This window comes from Homo sapiens, chromosome 3 (assembly GCF_000001405.40).
Source record: "Homo sapiens chromosome 3, GRCh38.p14 Primary Assembly".
Taxonomy (NCBI): Eukaryota; Metazoa; Chordata; class Mammalia; order Primates; family Hominidae; genus Homo; species Homo sapiens.
This window is the reverse complement of record NC_000003.12, coordinates 153,620,585-153,640,374: the sequence shown is the minus strand read 5'-3', so window position 1 is coordinate 153,640,374 and position 19,790 is coordinate 153,620,585. Positions and strand designations below refer to the sequence as shown.

At 38.3% G+C, this 19,790-nt stretch overlaps 1 long non-coding RNA gene across 1 annotated transcript in view, besides 1 other annotated feature; it reads left to right on the top strand.

The window, feature by feature from the left end:
• The window catches only part of LINC02006 (long intergenic non-protein coding RNA 2006), a 378,977-nt gene that overhangs the window by 122,152 nt on the left and 237,035 nt on the right, over positions 1–19,790 (top strand). The gene's annotated exons all lie outside the window — the stretch shown is intronic.
• Positions 18,018–18,077: an enhancer, noted in NCBI's record as "active region_20718". NCBI's record gives its function as "activates an Ori minimal core promoter by ATAC-STARR-seq in GM12878 lymphoblastoid cells {active_cell/tissue: GM12878}" and the evidence as "EXISTENCE:reporter gene assay evidence [ECO:0000049][PMID:35858748]".

Here is a 19,790-nt window from a genome sequence, read left to right as displayed (position 1 = left end):
CCACATCCTTCAGAAGGTCTGTGGTTTCTCTCGGGATTGCTGGTTTGTTCCTGCAGTCAATCTGGAGCTAAAATTCACAGTGTGAGCCTCCACATGCTGCTCTGTCTGGAGCTGCAATCTAATCCTGCCTCCCGTCCGCCATGATCCCTGGAACAGTTATATTTGGACATATGGATCAAACCATACAATTTGGAAAGAAAAAACAAACAAAAAAAAGGTCTGCAAAGGGTCCTTCCTTTATACTCAAAGGAACATAAATTTCTCTTGCTACCTGTTTCTGCATTTCAGGAGAAAAACACGAATTCTCTCTTTGTGCTCCGGGGTGTACACTTAGCTCATCATATAATGGAGCTCTACTTTCCCTTTAAATATGAACTATGGATTTTTGGACAAAAGTCATAAAAATTCTACCAGATTAATACAGAATTGCAGATTTTTCCCAAAGGGCCTTTTCCTGATTTATTTTTATCAGCATGAATAACTCCTGAGAATATGGTGAGCTGTTTCCTCACGGAGATACAGAGCCTGAAGTCTGGCAGCATTTCCACCATCTACCACCCACTGAGCTTGATTTTAAGTTGTTTTTCTCAATACAACAAGACCAGTGATTTCTAACAGCAGTCACATCCAAGTTTGTTCTGGAATTGTCAGCTACATATCTAAGTGTTATATGTTATTTCCCTCCTGTTTTTCTTCTTTATTTTTTAAGCATTTTATTTTGAAATAAATTTAGATTTGCAGAAGAGTTGCAAAGATAGTATAGGTGTATAGCTTTACCCAGCTTCCTGTGATTTAAAAAATGTATCTTCCCAAGGTACACTTATTAAAATTAAAAAATTATCACTGGTACTATACTATAAACTAAACTCTAGATTTTGTTATACTTTTTGTTTTGTTTTGGTTTGGTTTTTGAGATGGAGTCTTGCTCTCATCACCCAGGCTGGAGTGCAATGGCACGATCTCAGCTCACTGCAACCTCCACCTCCCAGGTTCAAGGGATTCTCCTGCCTCAGCCTCCCAAGTAGCTAAGATTACAGGCGTCCACCACCACACCCGGCTAATTTTTGTATTTTTAGTAGAGACGGGGTTTCGTCATGTTGGCCAGGCTGGTCTCAAACTCCTGACCTCTTGATCTGCCCACCTCAGCCTCCCTAAGTGCTGGGATTATAGGCGTGAGCCACTGCACCTGGCCTATATTATTAACTAAACTCTAGATTTCCGGTTTTTCCACGGATGTCTTTTAGCTTGTTCCAGGACCATACGATGCCATGCAGCACCATGTCTCTTAGTCCATGACAGTTTCACAATCTTTCCTTGACATATCTTTCTTGTTTTTAAATCTCTTTCCAAATGTACCCTTGTTACACATGCAAGCTATAACCATTGACTAAAATACCCTATTTTTATTTAAACATAATTTCTACTGTTTTTTAATATTGAAAATAATCTTTTTTTTTTTGAGACGGAGTCTCGCTCTGTCGCCCAGGCTGGAGTGCAGTGGTGTGATCTCGGCTCACTGTAAGCTCCGCCTCCCGGGTTCACGCCATTCTGCCTCAGCCTCCCGAGTAGCTGGGACTACAGGCACCTGCCACCATGCCCGGCTAATTTTTTTGTATTTTTAGTAGAGACGGGGTTTCACCATGTTAGTCGGGATGGTCTCTATCTCCTGACCTTGTGATCCGCCCGCCTGGGCCTCCCAAAGTGCTGGGATTACAGGCGTGAGCCACCACGCCTGGCCTAAAATAATCTTAAAAAACGTAAGCAAAATAAAAACTATTTACTAAATGTAAAAATGAAAACTACTAAGCTGGACCTAACCCTTGGTATGTTTGCCTTTTAAGTAGCTTTCCTGCTTCTGGTATCACCATAGTCAAATCCAGTGGATTTATCTGAAACATTTTAAACATTCAGAATAATGTTTCTAATGTATTAATTATCATGTAATAATAATTTTGAAGGTTCAATGGTCATTTGCATAAATTCCAGATTCTTTAGCATGGTATACAAGTGTGGCCTTCATGATCTAGCACCCACCTTTCTCTCCGGAAGCATCTTCAGCTGTTCCTGAGCTGATGTAAAGCCCTCTGTGGCGGGCAGCCTCTGCCAACACCACACGAATAAGCCTGGAAGCGGACCTCCTCCAGTCAAGCCTGGAAATGACCGCAGACCTGGCCCACGATCTGCAACTTTGTGAGAGACCCTGAGCCTCAGGACCAAACTGAGCCATGTCTAAATTTCTAACTCATAGAATTGGCGAGTTAAGTGTTTGTTGTTTTGGAAGGAAAATTTTTAATTAATAACAAATATATGTTGAATCCAGCTGGACTCCCTACCTAGAATATCCCACATTGGCCATATTTTCTCATACCTTGGTGTCCAGGTAGTTAGTCAGACAGTTATTTTGTGATTTAATTGATATTCCTAAGCCCCTACCAAATACCAGGCTATGTGCTAGGTGTTGGAATCAAGGACTCTAAAATATGGTTAAAGGAACCCACAGTTAAGTAGAAAACACAATGATGTTAGTTACTGGTAATAATGTAAAAAGTGCTGCAGTTGATGAATAAATATATTTTATAAATTTAGAGAGAAAAATGATTACATTTGATCTGGAAAGCGAAAGATACCAAGAAATTTTTGAGCTAGATTGTGAAGTTTAGTGGGTTTCATTACATAAGAAAGTCAGCAGAGGGAAGAATGTGAACAAAAGATTAAGTGTGAGCGTCCATGTTGTGTTTGGGGAGGGCAAATGTGCCAGTGGGTTTGGGGATGGAAGTATATTGGATGAGCACTGTTGTGGAAGAGCGACCTGTCTTCCATTCTCCTCCCTCCCTGTTATAATCTTGTACATCCCTCAAGACTGAGCTCAAATTCCATTGTTTTCTTGATATCATTTCTGATTGTTCCTAACCACGAGGATCTCTCCCATTCAATCACATACTGTCTCACATTGTTCTCTAAGTGCTGTATTAGCAAACGCTTTGAGATGGCAAATTATCTTTTCTTCTGTATGCACATCTAGAACATTGCTGGGCACATAATGTTAGATAAATGCTTATTGATTAATTGAAGATGGCATTTTTCTTCTGTGTTACTTAAAGTCTAAGTTAAAGTGATTAAGCTGAAAATGCATACACAACTAGTAACTCCAAAGCAACACTGAGGTACATGCCTGATAATGATGCTTAGAAATGAAAATACAGGGAATGATTAGTAAAATTTCTGATATTTAGAAGCATCAACTTGATGTCAGTAGGCAAATGAACACTTGGAAGTGAGAAAAGCACAAGAAAATGAACAGATGTGACTGGACACTGGGTAGAAGGGAGGCAACCTTGTTCCAGAGAGCAGCAGTAGGAGAGCAGTGATTGGGAGGGAAAGGTGAGTCCAAATGAGAAGATGTAAGCTCTGATTCATGAAGGACATTCCAGTTTGGTAATGGCCTAGGTGGTCTGTCCCATGGATCTCAGAGAAGGAATTTATGTAGTATGGTGGTAAGAGTCTTTTTTCCCTAATAAAAGTACATATTGTGGGGGATTCATGTCAATGTAACCTGCCTAGGAATTCTCTTATTAATATAGGATTATTAGACCCTGAATGTCCCACGAATAGTTTACTGAAGTGCAAAGGATATTCTATCTGAACTCACAAATGAATCTAATCAGTTACCATGTGGCATCCATATTTGGATCTCTCTATTTCTCTTTCCAGTGTCTTACACTCTTCCCCTAGAATAGGACCATCACTCATTCCTGCTGTCCCTGCCATGCCTGCTGTTTATCACCCCTGCCATCAAGCATCGAGGAGGAGGTTTGTGCTGAGCAGGCTGTCCCCACTGCCTCTGAGGGATGGAGCTCAAGCTACTGAAGCTTCATAGTTGTCTACTGGGAATCCAGGGAATCTCTGGTCATCTTTGTTACTACAATCATTATAGTCATGTGTCCTAGATCACAGATATGTGCACCCCTGATTATAGATTAAAGTAAAACAAGTTGTTTCAGTTTTTACTTATAGCTCCACACCCTATTCACATACCTCCCAGGGCTCAGTCATGAGTCCAGTCACGGGTAACAGGGGAGGGAGCTGGACATGAAGGTGAAAATTAGTAGTAAACATCATGCTATGTTCATACTTTTCTTCTCCTCACCTCTAAAGCTACATTACCCTATTAAGTGTGCTGTGCTGCAACCTCCGCCTCCCAAGTAGCTGGGACTACAGACGCGCACCACCATGCCTGGCTAATTTTTGTATTTTTAGTAGAGATGGGGTTTCATCATATTGGCCATTCGAGACTGGTCTCGAACTCCTGACCTCGTGATCTGCCTGCCTCGGCCTGCCAAAGTGCTAGGATTACAGGTGTGAGCCACCATGCCTGGCAATCCTTTCTTTACTTAGACACTCCTCATATATGTAAACTTCTGGTGTGTTGACAGCATATTCTCAGGTATCTCTAGACTCCTCCTGGTTGAGGATAAACCAGGATCTCAGCTACAGTATGATTGTGTCTGAACAAGGGATGCCAGACTAAGAAAAAGTAGTGTAGCCCAGATAGGAATAGGGCCGCAGAAGGCAAGAGGGAAACTCATTGCATTCTGGATGGATTCTAAGTCATAGGCTAATTGCTTTTTCCAGACATCATTTTACCCACCTTTGACATGTGCTTGTATGGATGGAACCATTTGAAAGTGAAAGGGTAAGCAAGGGACTGAAATTGTTAAAATATAGATTTTTTTTTTTAAGCAGTAATCTGACAGAGGCATCCAATGTGTTTATACTAGTGGAAGCAGGAAGATCAGCAAGGAAATTATTAAAATAATGCAGGCATGGAGTGATGGGCATGTTTCCTGATCTTCTTGCCTGTCAGAAAACTCAGAGTTAAGTTTTGTACTGACTTGTAGTAGCTGTCATTTATCCAGTTTTAGAATATTATTACCTTTCATTTTCATTTCTCCAACCATATACTTGCTTCCTTTGTCTTATTGGTCTTTGGGTTTTATTTTACTTTGTTTCCCTTATAGCCACATCTTACTTTTTAGAAGTAGATTATAAGTATAAAAGTGCATGAATAAAATAGGCCTCTTGGTGGTAAGGGGAAGACTGAAGATAAATGGTGTTTATTTGATGGGACCTGATATAAATAGCTGAGGATTCTACAAAGCACTGGGTTAAGAGGTATCTCCTAATCAATGAATGGTAATGGTTGTGTGACTGGGAGATATAGAACAAAGTTATGATGACATAGTAACTTTTAACTTCAAAATGACAAGAAGCTGGGGGCTAGGGTTTAGCAATTGCTGTTGAACTCTAAGAATGTGCTGTGTTTCCATACCTACTTTAAAGATCAGTGATCAAAATTAAATAATAACTTGAGTAATACAAAACTGAGTAAGACTCTGCTCCCTTACGAGGCAGGACAGATGGAGGAGTGAGAAGCATGGTGTAATCAGAGTGCCCAGGCAATTCACAGTAAGCGGATGTGCTTGTCCTGGCTCCAGAACAGTAACTCCATGGGGAACATAGTCATGTGCAAAGCGTTGAACTTATTCATTAGTGAGAATTCTTGCTCTGTTGAAGCTTAAAAAGAAAACAGAGCATAATGAAAAATTTACAGACAGAGAAAGGAATGATTATGAAATCCTGGAGTACGTAGCACAAGGAGTTCCAAACCCAAATGCCTATAGAGTCCAGGCAGAACATGTAAATAAGTGAAGTGGGCAAGGTGAAACCCAAAAAGGAGTGGTGGGGATCATTCCAAACTGAAGAGCACTTGATCCTCAAAGAGCGCAGCTTCTGATCAACTCCAGTTCATCATTGCATATGGAAACATGAGTCCCATACCCCCAGGTATACTGATAGTTCAAGAGAAGCCAGGAAATCAGACCTCAACTAAAATAGGATTTTCTAAATGTTGGGTTAATTTTGTAATACAATGTATAGGCCAAAACAAAACACTTCTGTGACTGCATTAAACCTCTGGAGACTGGTTTGTGGTTTCTGGAAGAGAATTGTTTAAGTCTTATCTCTTTAGGGATAAAGAACACATACTGTTACTTACACAAAAGAGGCTGGCTGGGAAAATTGAAGGGGAAAGATAGCATTTTCCTTAGGGAAAGGGATAAGGCATAGCCAGATATGGGAGTGAGATCCCTTCTCTGATGAGTGGGTTCAGGAGGTAGTGTAGGGGCTCTCTTCTGAATTAGACCCTGTTATCCTATGTGAGTCCAGCACCTCTAACAAAAATATTTTAGCAGAGTCCACTCAGTCAGTCTAGGCAGAGATGACGATATGATTGGGATGAGAGCAGAGAGTTTGAATTTACTAAAAAGACAAGAATAAGCCTTTTGGTACAAGGTCCTCCCCAAAAATGTGGCTGCCACAGCCTTATTATGTGATAACTGATCTCAAGGTTGGGGGAAAAATGTTCATTCAAATGCAAGTCATTTAATATCTACTAAGTGTGAGAAAAAAGACAACTGATAAAATCTTCCAAACTTCCAAAGGTTTAAATTATGGGATCCAAAGTCGGGTTTGGGGCTGAAATTAATTTTTTATGGTTGTTATAACAACAAAAATAATATTTCTTATGTGGTCACTGTGTACTAGAAAGTATAGTGAATTTTCAACATGCATTATCTTGATAGTTCTTCATAGGACCCCCGAAGCAGGTATTTTTATTATTTCCATGTGATACTGCAGGGTACTCAGCCTCTCACAGGTGAAGTGACTTGCCCAAGATCACACATACAGAGACCAGGGTGTGTGCCCCACCCCTATGCAAACTTTCTCCATCAATTTAATCATGGCATGATTCAAACTTTCTCAAAGTGAGAGTTGTGAAAACCAAATGTGATGATACACATAACCATATTTTATAAGCTGTAAGACAGTTTCTGCTTCCAAGCACAAGAGAAGCTGTTAGGTAATTTCACTTTTGATGGCTATAACTATTATTTTTTGCAATTACTCCTCATATGAATTTCTACTTATTAATTAGTTCCCACTGCCTCCATTCAAAAGAAAAGATTCCTTGCCCTATGCATTTGTTCAAGTCACTGTTTACATCTTTATGTCCCCAGTTTAACCTAATTATATGGTCTCCCTCTGGGACCAGCTGGGGATGAAGATGGAAAGAGACGCAGCCCACCTGAGGCGTCTGTTCATTGAATGACGATTTCACCACTGCTCATGAGCCTAGTGATGGTGAACTTTCCTTACAAACTGAACATTTTTTCTACTGGCTTTTAAAGTAAGAAAAATCATGACCCACTGCTGAGAGTATATCCAGAAACACTCAGTTAGTTAAAACCACAGGAAGAACTATCACAGAATATGAAAACTTTGTCCTAACACAATTTCATCAGAAATTTTATATACTTTGACTCTCTAAGAGAGAAAAAGAAAAGAAATAAAAACAAATGAGAGAATAGGAATGGATATGAGAAGGAATCCAGCCAAGTGGAAGGTTGCCACACGGAAACACAGAGCAGTTTCTACCAGTCAAACAAAAGCCTGTCACAGGAAGGGACACCATAGGGCTAGACCTGAAGACAGGCACCACACATCGTGAAAAGCTTAATCAAGGTGAGAGGGAGAGAAGTAGGACATATATTTTCTTCCCTTCCTAAATGGCTTCATAACTACATTAGGCCGGCAAAAAAAATTGCTTCTTAGTATTGGTCAGTTTAGTAATAGCAGGTCACTGAAAGAAACAACCCCTTCCTCTTCGTTTTCTTTCATGTGGTTTTAGGAAGGAAAATAGGTAACAGGGAAAGAAAAAAAAAAAAAAAGCCTGTTGCAGCAAAGAGCTATTTCTTTTGAGTCAGATTTCGTGCTAGACTATTAAGTACTCTAGAAATTACTTTAAAGATTTTTACCTAGTTAATGAAAATAGTTAAGTATATCAGACCTAGGCATGACTCGTTCTTGGGTAGATCTCATAATTAATAAGTTCATTCAGAGAAATGGCAAACTATTGAAATAAGGTGGGTATTATTTTGATATTGCATTGCTTTGTATCAATTAGCCACATCTTTATGATAAAGGACACTGTGAATGTAAAATGTTCAGAATATTTATGGTATTCATTTTTCCAGTGCTGATTATACATTAGGTACAGAGGTAGGTGCTGTAATTCAGATCATGTCAGTTTTTTACAATCCCTCAGTGTCTCCCCATTGAACTCAAAATGAACTTCAAACTCTCACAACAATACCCGGGGCCTGCATGACCCAGTGGCCTCTGCTTCTCCCCATCTTTACCTCTACCACAATCCCTCTTACTTGCTGCTTTCCACCCACCCCAGCTCTCTTCCAGTGGCTCAAACATTCCAAGATTTCTGCCACTGGTCCTCTCTACCTGCTGATTCTTCTGCCCAGAATACTAGCTTCCTGTCTTTTTATGAGTGGTTCCATTACATTCCTCAATCTCAGCTTAATGTCACATCCTCAGAAAGACCTTCCCTGAGTCTTCTTTTTAAAATAGCCACCTGTCATCTACCCTGACGTCACCTACCCTGATGCCACAGCATCTTTTTATGTCCTTCATAGAATGTGTTATAGTGTGTTTTTCATTTCGTTTTTGTTTTGTTTTCTTGTTTTATTTCTCTGGCTATAGTATAGACTCCATGAGGGTGGGAACTTGTTATTCTTAATTTCTGTTCTATCAAATCCTGGAGTGGTATCTGCACACTAGACATATACTACTTATTTGCTAAATGATGGATAGATGAATAAATGTGGAGATACTAACACTTAGAGAATCCCATTTTTACGTCAAGTATTGTACTAAGTATTATTATCTATGTTAGTTTACGTAGTTACTACTGTGAGTTAAGTGTTGTTTTCATCTTGCTGATGAGAAAAATGGGAACTTCAGTCTTATAATGCTGTATAAGCCCTTAAGGAGCTCCCAGTCTGATTATATCATTAGACAATAAGCTCATTATATAATAAATCCAGATTTTGTGTTTTTTCCACAACAGCATGTAGAAATCTCACATAGCAAGCTTAAATTAAGTGGTTAGATTTAGCTCTGCTCTTCACGCCTCCAGTGAATTATGCATGCCTTTGTGGATTTGAATACGTCTTTATGAAATAAACATATTTTGGAGAGCAGACACTGTCTCTCTCATTTCCATAAAAGTGAGATGCCCATTATATCAACATTTGTGATCCCTTGATTATAATTCTTTACATTCATGTAGCTCTTTTGCAAAGAATTTTCAGGCATATGAGTTCCTTCCATTTCCTTTCACATCTCTGTGAAGGAAGGGCAGGCAGGGCAGGTGTTATTTGTCCTTGTCTTCCTGCCACAGATGATGCTGCTAGAGTTCTGTGACATTAAGTGGCTTTCCCAAGGTCACACAGCTGGTAAGTGGTAAAGCCTCTTGGCCCTGGCCTTCTGTCCTCAGAACATAATTCTGTTGTCCCCAAAGCCCTGAAGTGTCCCTCTCCCTGCTGCTTCTACCCCTCCTCCCCACCCCAATCATCCTTCTCTATTCTTTTCTATTTCCTGAAAGTCTGCACTATGACATACTGAGAGCTTTAAATGGAGGTGAGAATGAAGGGGTTCTTGGTAGTGAAAACAGATGAGCAGACAGATTTCTCTGCCTGCCTCCCATCTTTCCTCAGTTCCTCCTATTCCCCAAAGAAATATAGAGGGTGTCTCCAAGGGGCTCTTACTACGGAGAGCTACTCCATGACTATATTTTAATAAGTGAAAGTGAGGAGGTAAATATTCTTTTTCTGATCATTTGACCAGGTATGCTAATAAAGCATGTCCCAAAATGTCTCTCAGATTGTTCCCTTCCCTTCCATTCTCACCAGTATCTCTCTAGTTTTAGTCATCATCTCTATTGTTCTCCAATACTCTTCTAACGTGTCTCCTTTCCTCTGGCCTAGCCACCATCCATTCTACTCTCTATGCTGCAAATAGAGCTTCCATTCTAGGGCATAGATCTCATCGCATTGCTCTTTTCCTCTTAGTCATCAGTGTTTCTCCGTTGCTGCTAGCCTAATTTTAAACTCTTTGATATGTCATGCAAAGCCATTGACACCTGAGTTCCTTGCTGCTCCAGCCTCCCTTCCTGCTATATACTGTACTGTCATCTTAGAGGACTTCTGGCTAGTGACTGCCTGCTGTGCAATCTCATACCCTGTGCCTTTGCATGGTGTTCCTGTCTCTTGGAGCACCTTCTCCCTGCTTCTCTGTAAAGTTCAGCTCAAAAATTACTTTTATCTTAAAGCTTTCCTGGATTCTTCTCTATTATACTTCTCCCTGAAGAAGATGGGATTCTTCCAGCCTTTCTCCTATGGCAATTTGTTTAGACATCTATTAGGGCTACACTGATGACGTTTTCTGGTTTTAATATCGTGAAAACAGGGTTTGGCAACAGAATAAAGTAGTTTAATAATGATAGCTACCTTTTTTGCATCCTCTTCAGTATCTTTTATCTTTACTTCATAGAATATGGTCTCATTGAAAGGAGGGACACTACCTTATTCTTTGCGACATTAGAACCCAGTCAGTACAACACCTGGCATGTAAGAGTAAGTTATCAATGCTTGTTGGACTCCAGGCATTCTTGTGTATACTTTAAATATACTCTGATTTTTACTGCAATCTTCTGAGGTAGCTGTGATGCTGCCATTTTGCAAATAAGGAAACTGATATTAAAAGGATTTTTATTTCATAGAGGTAGCATTTGAACTGATGTGTGAGTTTGACTCCTAAAGTGTGTTCTTTTCTATTATATGAGAGATTACCTACATAAATTGTTCAAGTATTATTATTCCCTCTTTCCTATGAAAGCTATTAAAGGTAGGTGGAAATTAATTTAGTACTTAAATAATATGATTGAGCATGAAAGCCAAGAAAAGCAGATTAAAGGAGATTTTTTTGGAGGGAATGAAATTAGTAGACAGAGACTGCATGGAACATATTAGCAGACAGCCATGTGGGGAAATAAGCTAAGTCCGTGATTTACTGAGATTGCTTTCTATCACCTCAGTGAACATTTACCTCAAGCAAGACACACTGCTTGACAAAGACATAAAATACTTTACATGTGGTTTAACACGTAGCCCTTCAGAGTCCTAATCTTGGGGACAAGACTGGCAGAGATGGCTGAATTCTCAGGTCTCCTTATCTGCTGCTTATGGTTTTATTCATTCTCTACACCTTCCAAAGCATGCAGTGTTCAGCAGCAAATTCAACAAACAAATTAAATGCAAAATTGCGGCATTTCCCACTGATCCTCTGGAGCCATCTTATTTGGCAATAGAAAGTGCAAAGAAAAATCAGGTGAGACCTTAAATGAAAGGTCACACAAACCTCTAATAAATTATCTTACATGATGATATTATTGTGAGATACTTCTAGATTGGCTTGAGGGTTTTCAATTTTTTTCAATATTTTAAAAAGAACAATGCATTTCCTTTTGGCAAGAAGGACATTTCTGACCAAGGAAGCTGCAGTGACACACTTTTCCGGAGATGAGAGAAAGGCACACACACACATTCACCAGTCACTTAGAAAAGTGAATGAGATGCTGGGGCAAATACTGTGTTCTAAACTTGAGAATGGTCATAAAGGGAATGGGAAAGTCCCTGTGTTTTTAAAGGAAGCAAATTAGTTGCAGGCAGCCTCGGACAAGTTGAAGAAACATCTGGGTAGACCGATAATAGACTGACTTCCTGACATGCCATTTTAACTATGATGACTTCAGACAGGAAGCTTAAGTTTCTCATTGTAACACTGGAAAAATACATAAAATTACGAGGCATTAACCACATACAAAATTGTAACTTTCTAATAAAAATATATTTTATAAAATTATAGAGGTTTAACATTATTATTTTCAAGATCTAAAAGCTATCAAACATTTTAGTCTATGCCTCTCCTTCCTGAGGAATATTTCAAGAAAAATATATGTACTTGTGTCTGTTAAGTCCAAATGCTATATACTTTCTTCAATTACTCTATTCTAGAGGCAATTTTAATAGAAATGACATTTCATTTCTCCAAACCAGAATTTTGATATGAAAAATTTTTTCACTATGATAAAATCACTAACAAGGAGAAAAATTAGTAACTAGCAAATAAATTAACCATGTTTTCCCAATGATATGGTTGTTGGCCTTTCTAAGACCTTAAGGCAGGGCTATAAGAATACTCCTGAAAGTTATCAAATATCTTTGGAATGTTTTCAGATTTTACATATACATGCATATGTCTATATATGAAAATAAATTATTCAGGGCAGACTCTCAGGAGATAAGGAAAATTCCTTAGCACCATATTTTGTTCATCTTGTTTCCCTTATGCCAATGAATTGCAGGGCCCTGTTAAGTTAAATGGCACCCCACTTATTTTGGAAATATCTTTCTTCTATGTTTAAAGAAACATACATTTTTAAAGAGCCTACACTTGAATATTCCTTGGGGCTTTATGTTGCCCATTTCTATGTACATGACATTGTAAAGCAGCATAATTTTCATGGTGAAAGAATAAGAGTTACCCTTTATGTCCTCATGTCATGCAGAGACTCATAGGTCCCGGTCTTTTACCCCAAGTTGCATGTATAATTAGGAAAACCACAATTCTTTACTCAATCGCTGTTGGTGAGGAAGGAGGCTTTTCCATGAATGCAAAAAGAGTGCAGTGCAAGATCCATTTAATTATGACTGTGGATACAGGCTTTTGAGTCTAAGACAAAGTTCATTATTTTACCAGGCACATGTTTTTTAAATATTTTAAAAGAAAAAACCTAAATCTTCCCTTTTCAACCAATGCAGCTGTTCTGCACTTGTTCTACATCTCCCCTCCCACTAGCACTCCATGTCTAGCTAAGCAGATTTCCCTATATTCCCCTTTAGTGGCTCTGCTTTCTGGTATATGTGCCTTCTCCTACATGGGTACCTTTCTGATTTATCCATTTCTCAATGTCCTTTCCATCTTTTTTAGGACTGACCTCAAATGCAATCTCCCACATGAAGATGTACCTATCACTTCTGCAATAATTAAGTGTGCTCTCCTTTGGGTAGCCCTATATTATTTCATTATTTAGAACATTTAATTCAGAAAATACTTGGTGAGAGGCTGTCCTTTGAGAGGCACTGTCCTTTGTTCTGTGGGGGTTGGGAAAGTAAGAAAACAACTTATCCTTCAAAATTAGAAGAGGAAATAAGGCACGAACAACATAGCTATGATGTAATGCAGACTCCTATTTAATATCTGTATTCTACTAATTGGAATCGAATGGTTTGAAGTTTACACACACACACACACACACACACACAAACACATGCGTAGCACTTATAGTGTCTACCTAACAGTAGGCCTAGAACGATGAGATAGGAATTTAATGGCATTGCATAGGTTTCAGGCCATCCATAACTTTTTTCCCAGTTGAGAAGTAATTTACAAACAAAAATTATTTGTCTTCTGGACAAATCCACCTTGTATTTTCCATAATTCTATCATATGTAAAAAGCTATCTTTTCTCAAAGAGAAAGAGACAGCAAGTCTGCATACAGCCTCTGCCTTTTCCATCCCCCTTCTACAAATGTGCTTGATCCCATGCACATATGTATGCACACACACACACACGTACACAGACACCCCCACCCACACCCCATTGCTGTCTGAATCTCACAGTCCCAATGCTGTAATCATAGGAAGTATCCCATTTGCTTCCCACTTGGGTTATTTTTCTGCTCTAACTCTAGAGATTAAGAGCCAAGAGAGATTAGCTTGGTTTCCCTCTGAATTCTGTATGTGCAGAAACACACTATGTACAACTTCCTTCTCCTTTAAAGGGGGCAAAGGTGCAGACAGGTAGAGGGGGCTTCTGTTGGAATTCAGAATCTCTGCAAAGGTAATCCTTGCTCTACAGAGTAGTTAATAGCCTTAAACTGTAATGAATCTATGACTCAGTGGTTTCAAGGTTGTACTTTCAAGCCCATTTTGAGTATTTGTAGACTAGCCAGAGGACTTTGCAACTACTGAAAACATTATGTCTGTGGAAAATGTGTTTCAAGTTCCAAGCAAGTAACCTTTACAGGAAGCACTGGAAATACCCTGTGTCTGGAGGAGCCTACGACCAGCTGCAGCATGCTATATGTATAATACATTTATAAGCTAAGTGCAGTAGAAATTAGACACCCAACCTCATTTTACAAAGATTTTCATAGTCGAGGACTGCAAGTCAACACTAAATTTCATATTAAAATTGCCCAAAAAGTATTTGTAGAGGAAGTTCTTGAATTCTGACTGATTTTTAGATGGAACAGAGAAAACAGCATTGCAGTCCAACGGGCACATGTATACATATGTAACTAACCTGCACAATGTGCACATGTACCCTAAAACTTAAAGTATAATAAAAAATTTAAAAAAAAAAGAGAATACCAAATTACTGGGCTGGTAAAGTAAAAAAAAATGTAATAACACTTCTTAAGCATTTAACTTTATTTTTCAGTTTGTCTACTTTGAAGTAGGGATAGTAATAATACTTACCTCATAGGGTTGTCAGGTGAATTAAGTGAGTTATATACATGAACCACTTACAGTGCCAGGCACGTAGTAAATATGTTCGTGTTCATGACTGTGAGCACTGATTGATGGTTCAGAGACCCTTATGGACAAACACACTGTACAGGGGACTGCTTTGGGCACCAGATGGCAATCTCAAGCTACTCCCTCAAAAGTACATTCAGCTCCTGTGTCTAAACAGCTAAGTAATTCTTAATCCTTTCAATGATTTTTTTTTTTTTTTAAGGAAAGAGAGGACACTGCTAAAATTTACCCCTCTTGACTGCCAATAAGTAAGGGTTTCTTTTCGCTGGGGATGGAGTGAGGGGTGAGGTTGGGGAGTGTGAAGAAAATGTTCTAAAACTAGATTGTGATGATGTTTGTACAACTCTGATAATATACTAAAACCGTGAAACTGATACTTTAAGTAGGTGAGTTGTATAGTATATGAATTATATCTCAAGAAAGCTCAATAAGAAAGTGTCTGGCATTCTTAAAAGTTCTTTCTAGGCATTAAGGGAATTTTCTCTGTCTATTTACAAAAGTGAATCAGGACAACATTGCCAGGAGCTTTTCACAATAATTTTTAATTATTTGTGAAAAGATGAATGCAAACTATAATGCCTATGCATACTAACAAGAACATCCTGTACCAGTTTTCTGAATGAGTTAAACAATTTTGTGTCAACATACTTTGGAATTAGAGACTTTGAAAGTAATGATTTTCCTGAACTCTTACCTCTGTGTTTATAATGCTAACAATGTTAGATTCTTTTATCTAAGTGCTAACTTCTATAGAAACTCTAATCAGCAGTCACATCATTCATATTCTGAAGGCACAAAACAATAGAATTGTACTCTCACCAAAGTGATATTCTTCACCAAGAACTTGCTCCATACTGTTTTTTTGTTTTTAAGTAGAAACTCATGCTATATTTTGTAAGGGCTCATCCAGAGTGGCACCTCAACACATAGTCATGGAGATAAACAATGAGACAGGATGTTTCAGATCTACTGTAACTCTCTGTCTGAAGGTAAAATTCCTCCATTGTGGCTGTCGCAAAAGTACGATTTTATTTTTATCACCTACATATTTAGCTGGTAACAATTGGTGATGACATAAGCCCAACTGAAAAACACAGGGCACCATGCCATCCTTTTCACACTGTCTTATGAACAGCTATTATCTCAGCGGAGGCTATAACCGCCCTGTGAGGAGAGACACCATGCGGGTTCTGTTTTCCACTCTGTGAGATGGATCACCAGAAATGCCATTCATGGTCTTCTGATGATAAAACTTGTGGAAAAGTATACTTCAGATAATTTGACTATTTCCTGTTTTTAACCTTCACTTATGTTTTTAGTAGTTCTTTACTTTCCAAGTCTTATAGAAACCCAACATCATTTCCTGTAAAAACATCTATTTGTACATTAAAGTCAAGAACAGTGGGGCCTTAAAAAAATTGTAAGTGAGCCCATTAGTAGCTCCTTAGATTTAGTGAACAACGTCAGAGTATCTCAAGTGAAGTAGGTAACCAGAATTAGGTTCAGCTTGTGGCTATAAATAAAAATAACCAGCCATATAAATAACATTAGTCAGCCTTTCCAAATCAGCTCAGTTGTCTGACTTCTCCCACACCACACATACCCCTAAATGAATTGAATCGAACAGTTTTGGATTTGGGCTTTATCAGTTTCTCTGCTCAGATCCTACCCTTGAATTACCATCATCCTTAAGAGAAATTGAGAGACTATGCCAGCTGAGGGATCTGCATCTCCTGTGTCCCTTCATAGGAACAGAGGTCACTTGGGCTCACCTGGAGATTATGGGTTGTCTCATTTGGCTATTCATTTCCTTCAATCATGGCTGCTGGAACTATGACTCTGACTATTACCAAACAAACCTATTTACTTCTGAAATGCAGTCACTGTGGTAGGGAAATCTTTCTAGCCTCATCCTACTGAGGATAACTTTTATCAGTAATTTTTTAAAATTAATATTTAGTTTACATTAGGTCTTTATAAATATTACCTACAGTTGAACCATGTATCTACGATTGCTATGTTAATTCTTCTTGTGCATGTCTGATTTCTTTTTCCTGAAGTTAATAATTGCCTCTGATTTTGGTTGGTTGGTTGTTCAGCTTCCTGTCTACCTGACACTCAATTCTTAATTTTCTGTTAGTATAGAAAAATGACTTTGGAAGGTTTAAACATCAAGTAATCACTTACTCTTTCTCTCTGCTAATATTTATCCTAGAGTTGCCTGTTCCTGTGCTCCAATGTGGATCTTTGCTCTCTAGATCTGCTGTGACACTGTCAACTAGAGTGCATGCTGTCTCTGTCTGTCTCCTCTTTGGATCTTCTGTATCCTGAATCTTGTGTCTTTCATTTTAATTCCACATTTTGATGATGATATCGTTTAGCAGATTTCTGAAAGAGGATGATGATTTTCTTTGAGATCTGGCATGTCTGGGAGTACCTCAATTTTACTCTTAATTTGATCTAGAATTCTATATTGGAACTAACTTTCCCTCAGAATTGTGATGGCATTGCTCTGTTTTAACTTCTACATTTACTGTTAAGAAATCTAATACCATATTTATACTAAATATATTATCTGTGACTTTTTTTTAACCCTTCGATGGAAGCTCCTAAGCTCTTTATATTATTTCTGATAATCAAAAATTTTATAGTAAAGTGACTCTTAAAATTGTTTCTCTCTCTTGAAAGTAGAAATTCATATACACTACATTTTTTGCAATATTTTTATTATATTATTTTGTATAAAATCTGGAATATGTTTTCTCATAGTTTTTATTGGATAAATCTTCCCTTTTTTCCACATTCTCTCTTTTCTTTCTCTGAACAATTATTTGTATGTCAAGTCTCTTGGACTGATTATTTTTGCCCTTTTGGCTACTTTCTGGGAGATTTTCTTTTTACTCTCTTTTTCTCTTGATTTTTTTTTCACTTGTGCTATCATTTTAAATTTCTAGAGCCTTTTAAAATCATTACTTGCTTGTTTTTTATAGCTTATTTTATATTTTTCCTGTTTCTTGACTAAAAGCATTTTCTTCTCTCTTCATGAGCACATTAGTTATAGTTTGAAGATTTCTCTTGTTTTCTTCCTTGTCTTCTTCCTCTTTTTTCTTTTTCCTTTCTGTTTATTTTAAAGGTTTCTTCAGATGCTTTGTGATTTTTCTCTATAGGCCTCTATTTTAAAAAGAGGCACTGAAATCCTGATTGGATGCTCTGTGTACATAGGCAGGGAAGTTGATGGTGGGTTTTCCAGATGGGTGATCAAGTGAAACCTGGCCATTTCATACTTGGAAAATCTCAAATACCAGACCCTTTTGGTATCCTTTCTTCTGGATGCAAACCTGGGTGATAGACTTCTGGGAGTGGAGAAAGGGAAGGAAACATATTCACAGTGTAAGCTTTTCTTTGATAGGCTATTTTCTGTGCAGTGTTTCAACTTCATCCTCATCCATACCCGCAGAGAATAAATATACACTCTTGTTTGAAAGGAGAATAATAGGAGAGGGGTACCTATTAATCCTTTGATTTTTCAGCCCCAGCTCGTACCATTACATTCAGAAGTGCTGGTGACTGCAGTCTCTGAGCCTCTGGTGAGTTCTCTGATATGAATCAGCTTGTTTCTTTTAGGTTTCATTTCCTGTTCATCTCAGCAACACAAAGCTACTACTCTTGCATCTGCATTTCCTCTTCCAAAACTTTGTTCCTATTTCTCACCTGCTGTGATCTTGTCTTCCATTCTGTTTGACCTTGTAGATTTATGTCTTTTTAAAATTCCTCAACTGTCATTATAGTGGAGTTTGGGAGAGAGCAGAAATAAATGCAGGTGTTCAAACTTCCATGTTTAACTGTAGGTTCAGAATTTATATTTAGTTCTATTAAATGTACTCTTGGTGGTCCTAGCCATCCGTTGAGCTCGTCAAGATCTTCCAGACCCCAGTACTTTCATTCATCGAATTATTTGTATCACCAAGCTTTGTGCAAATCTATCCATTTCGAGAGTCTAGGATGAACACAGCTATTTAGTAAGATTTCGAAGTTTTCCATTTAGCACATGCTCAGCTCTGCTCCCTCATACAAATTGGGTCACCCTTTGTGAAAACCCCACCCAATTAGTATATAGTATCTTTTGTTCTTGACTTGTGACCAAAGCTTCTTTAGAAGTTTATAAAGATATTTGAAACAAATGCTCCCTCCCATATCTCTCTGTCTTTTCTCTCTTTCTGTCTCTCCCCCCACCTCTCTCTCTCTCTTCTTTACCTCCCTTTCTCTTCCACACACACAGTAGTTATCTATGTATAGTCAAAGGCATCTATAACTTCTGAATTCTGAACAGCATCATGTGGCTTTAATCTTTTTAAAAAAACTTTAGGTTCAGGGGTACATGTGTAGGTTTGTTATCCTGGTAAACTCGCATCACAGGAGTTTGTTGTACAGATTATTTTGTCACCCAGGTACTAAGCCTAGTACCCAATAGTTATTTTCTCTGCTCCTCTCCCTCCTCCCACCCTCTACCCTCAAGTAGGCTGCAGTGCCTGTTGTTCCCTTCTTTGTGTTCATGAGTTCTCATCATTTAGCTCCCACCTGTAAGTGAGAACATGCAGTATTAGATTTTCTGTTCCTACGTTAGTTTGCTAAAGATAATGACATCCAACTCCATCCATGTTCCTGAAAAAGACCTGATCTTATTCTTTTTTATGACTGCGTAGTATTCCATGGAGTATATGTACCACATTCTCTTTATGCAATCTGTCATTGATGGGCATTTAGGTTGATTCCATGTCTTTGCTACTGTGAATAGTGCTGCAATGCATATTTGTGTGAATGTATCTTTATGGTAGAATGATTTATATTTATCTAGCTATATACCCTATAATGGGATTACTGAGTCGAATGGTAGTTCCATTTTTGGCTCTTTGAGGAATTGCCATACTGCTTTCCACAATGGTTGAACTAATTTACACTCCTGCCAACAGTATATAAATGTTCCATTTTCTCTGCAACCTTGTCAGCACCTGTTGTTATTTTTTGATTTCTTAGCAATAGCCATTCTGATTTGTATGAGACAGTATCTCACTGTGGTTTTGAATTGCATTTCTCAAATGATTGGTGATATTGAGCATTTCTCAATGCTTGTTGGCTGCATTTATGTTTTCTTTAGAAAAGTGTCTGTTCATGTTATTTGCCCACATTTTAGTGGGGTTGTTTTTTTTTTCTTG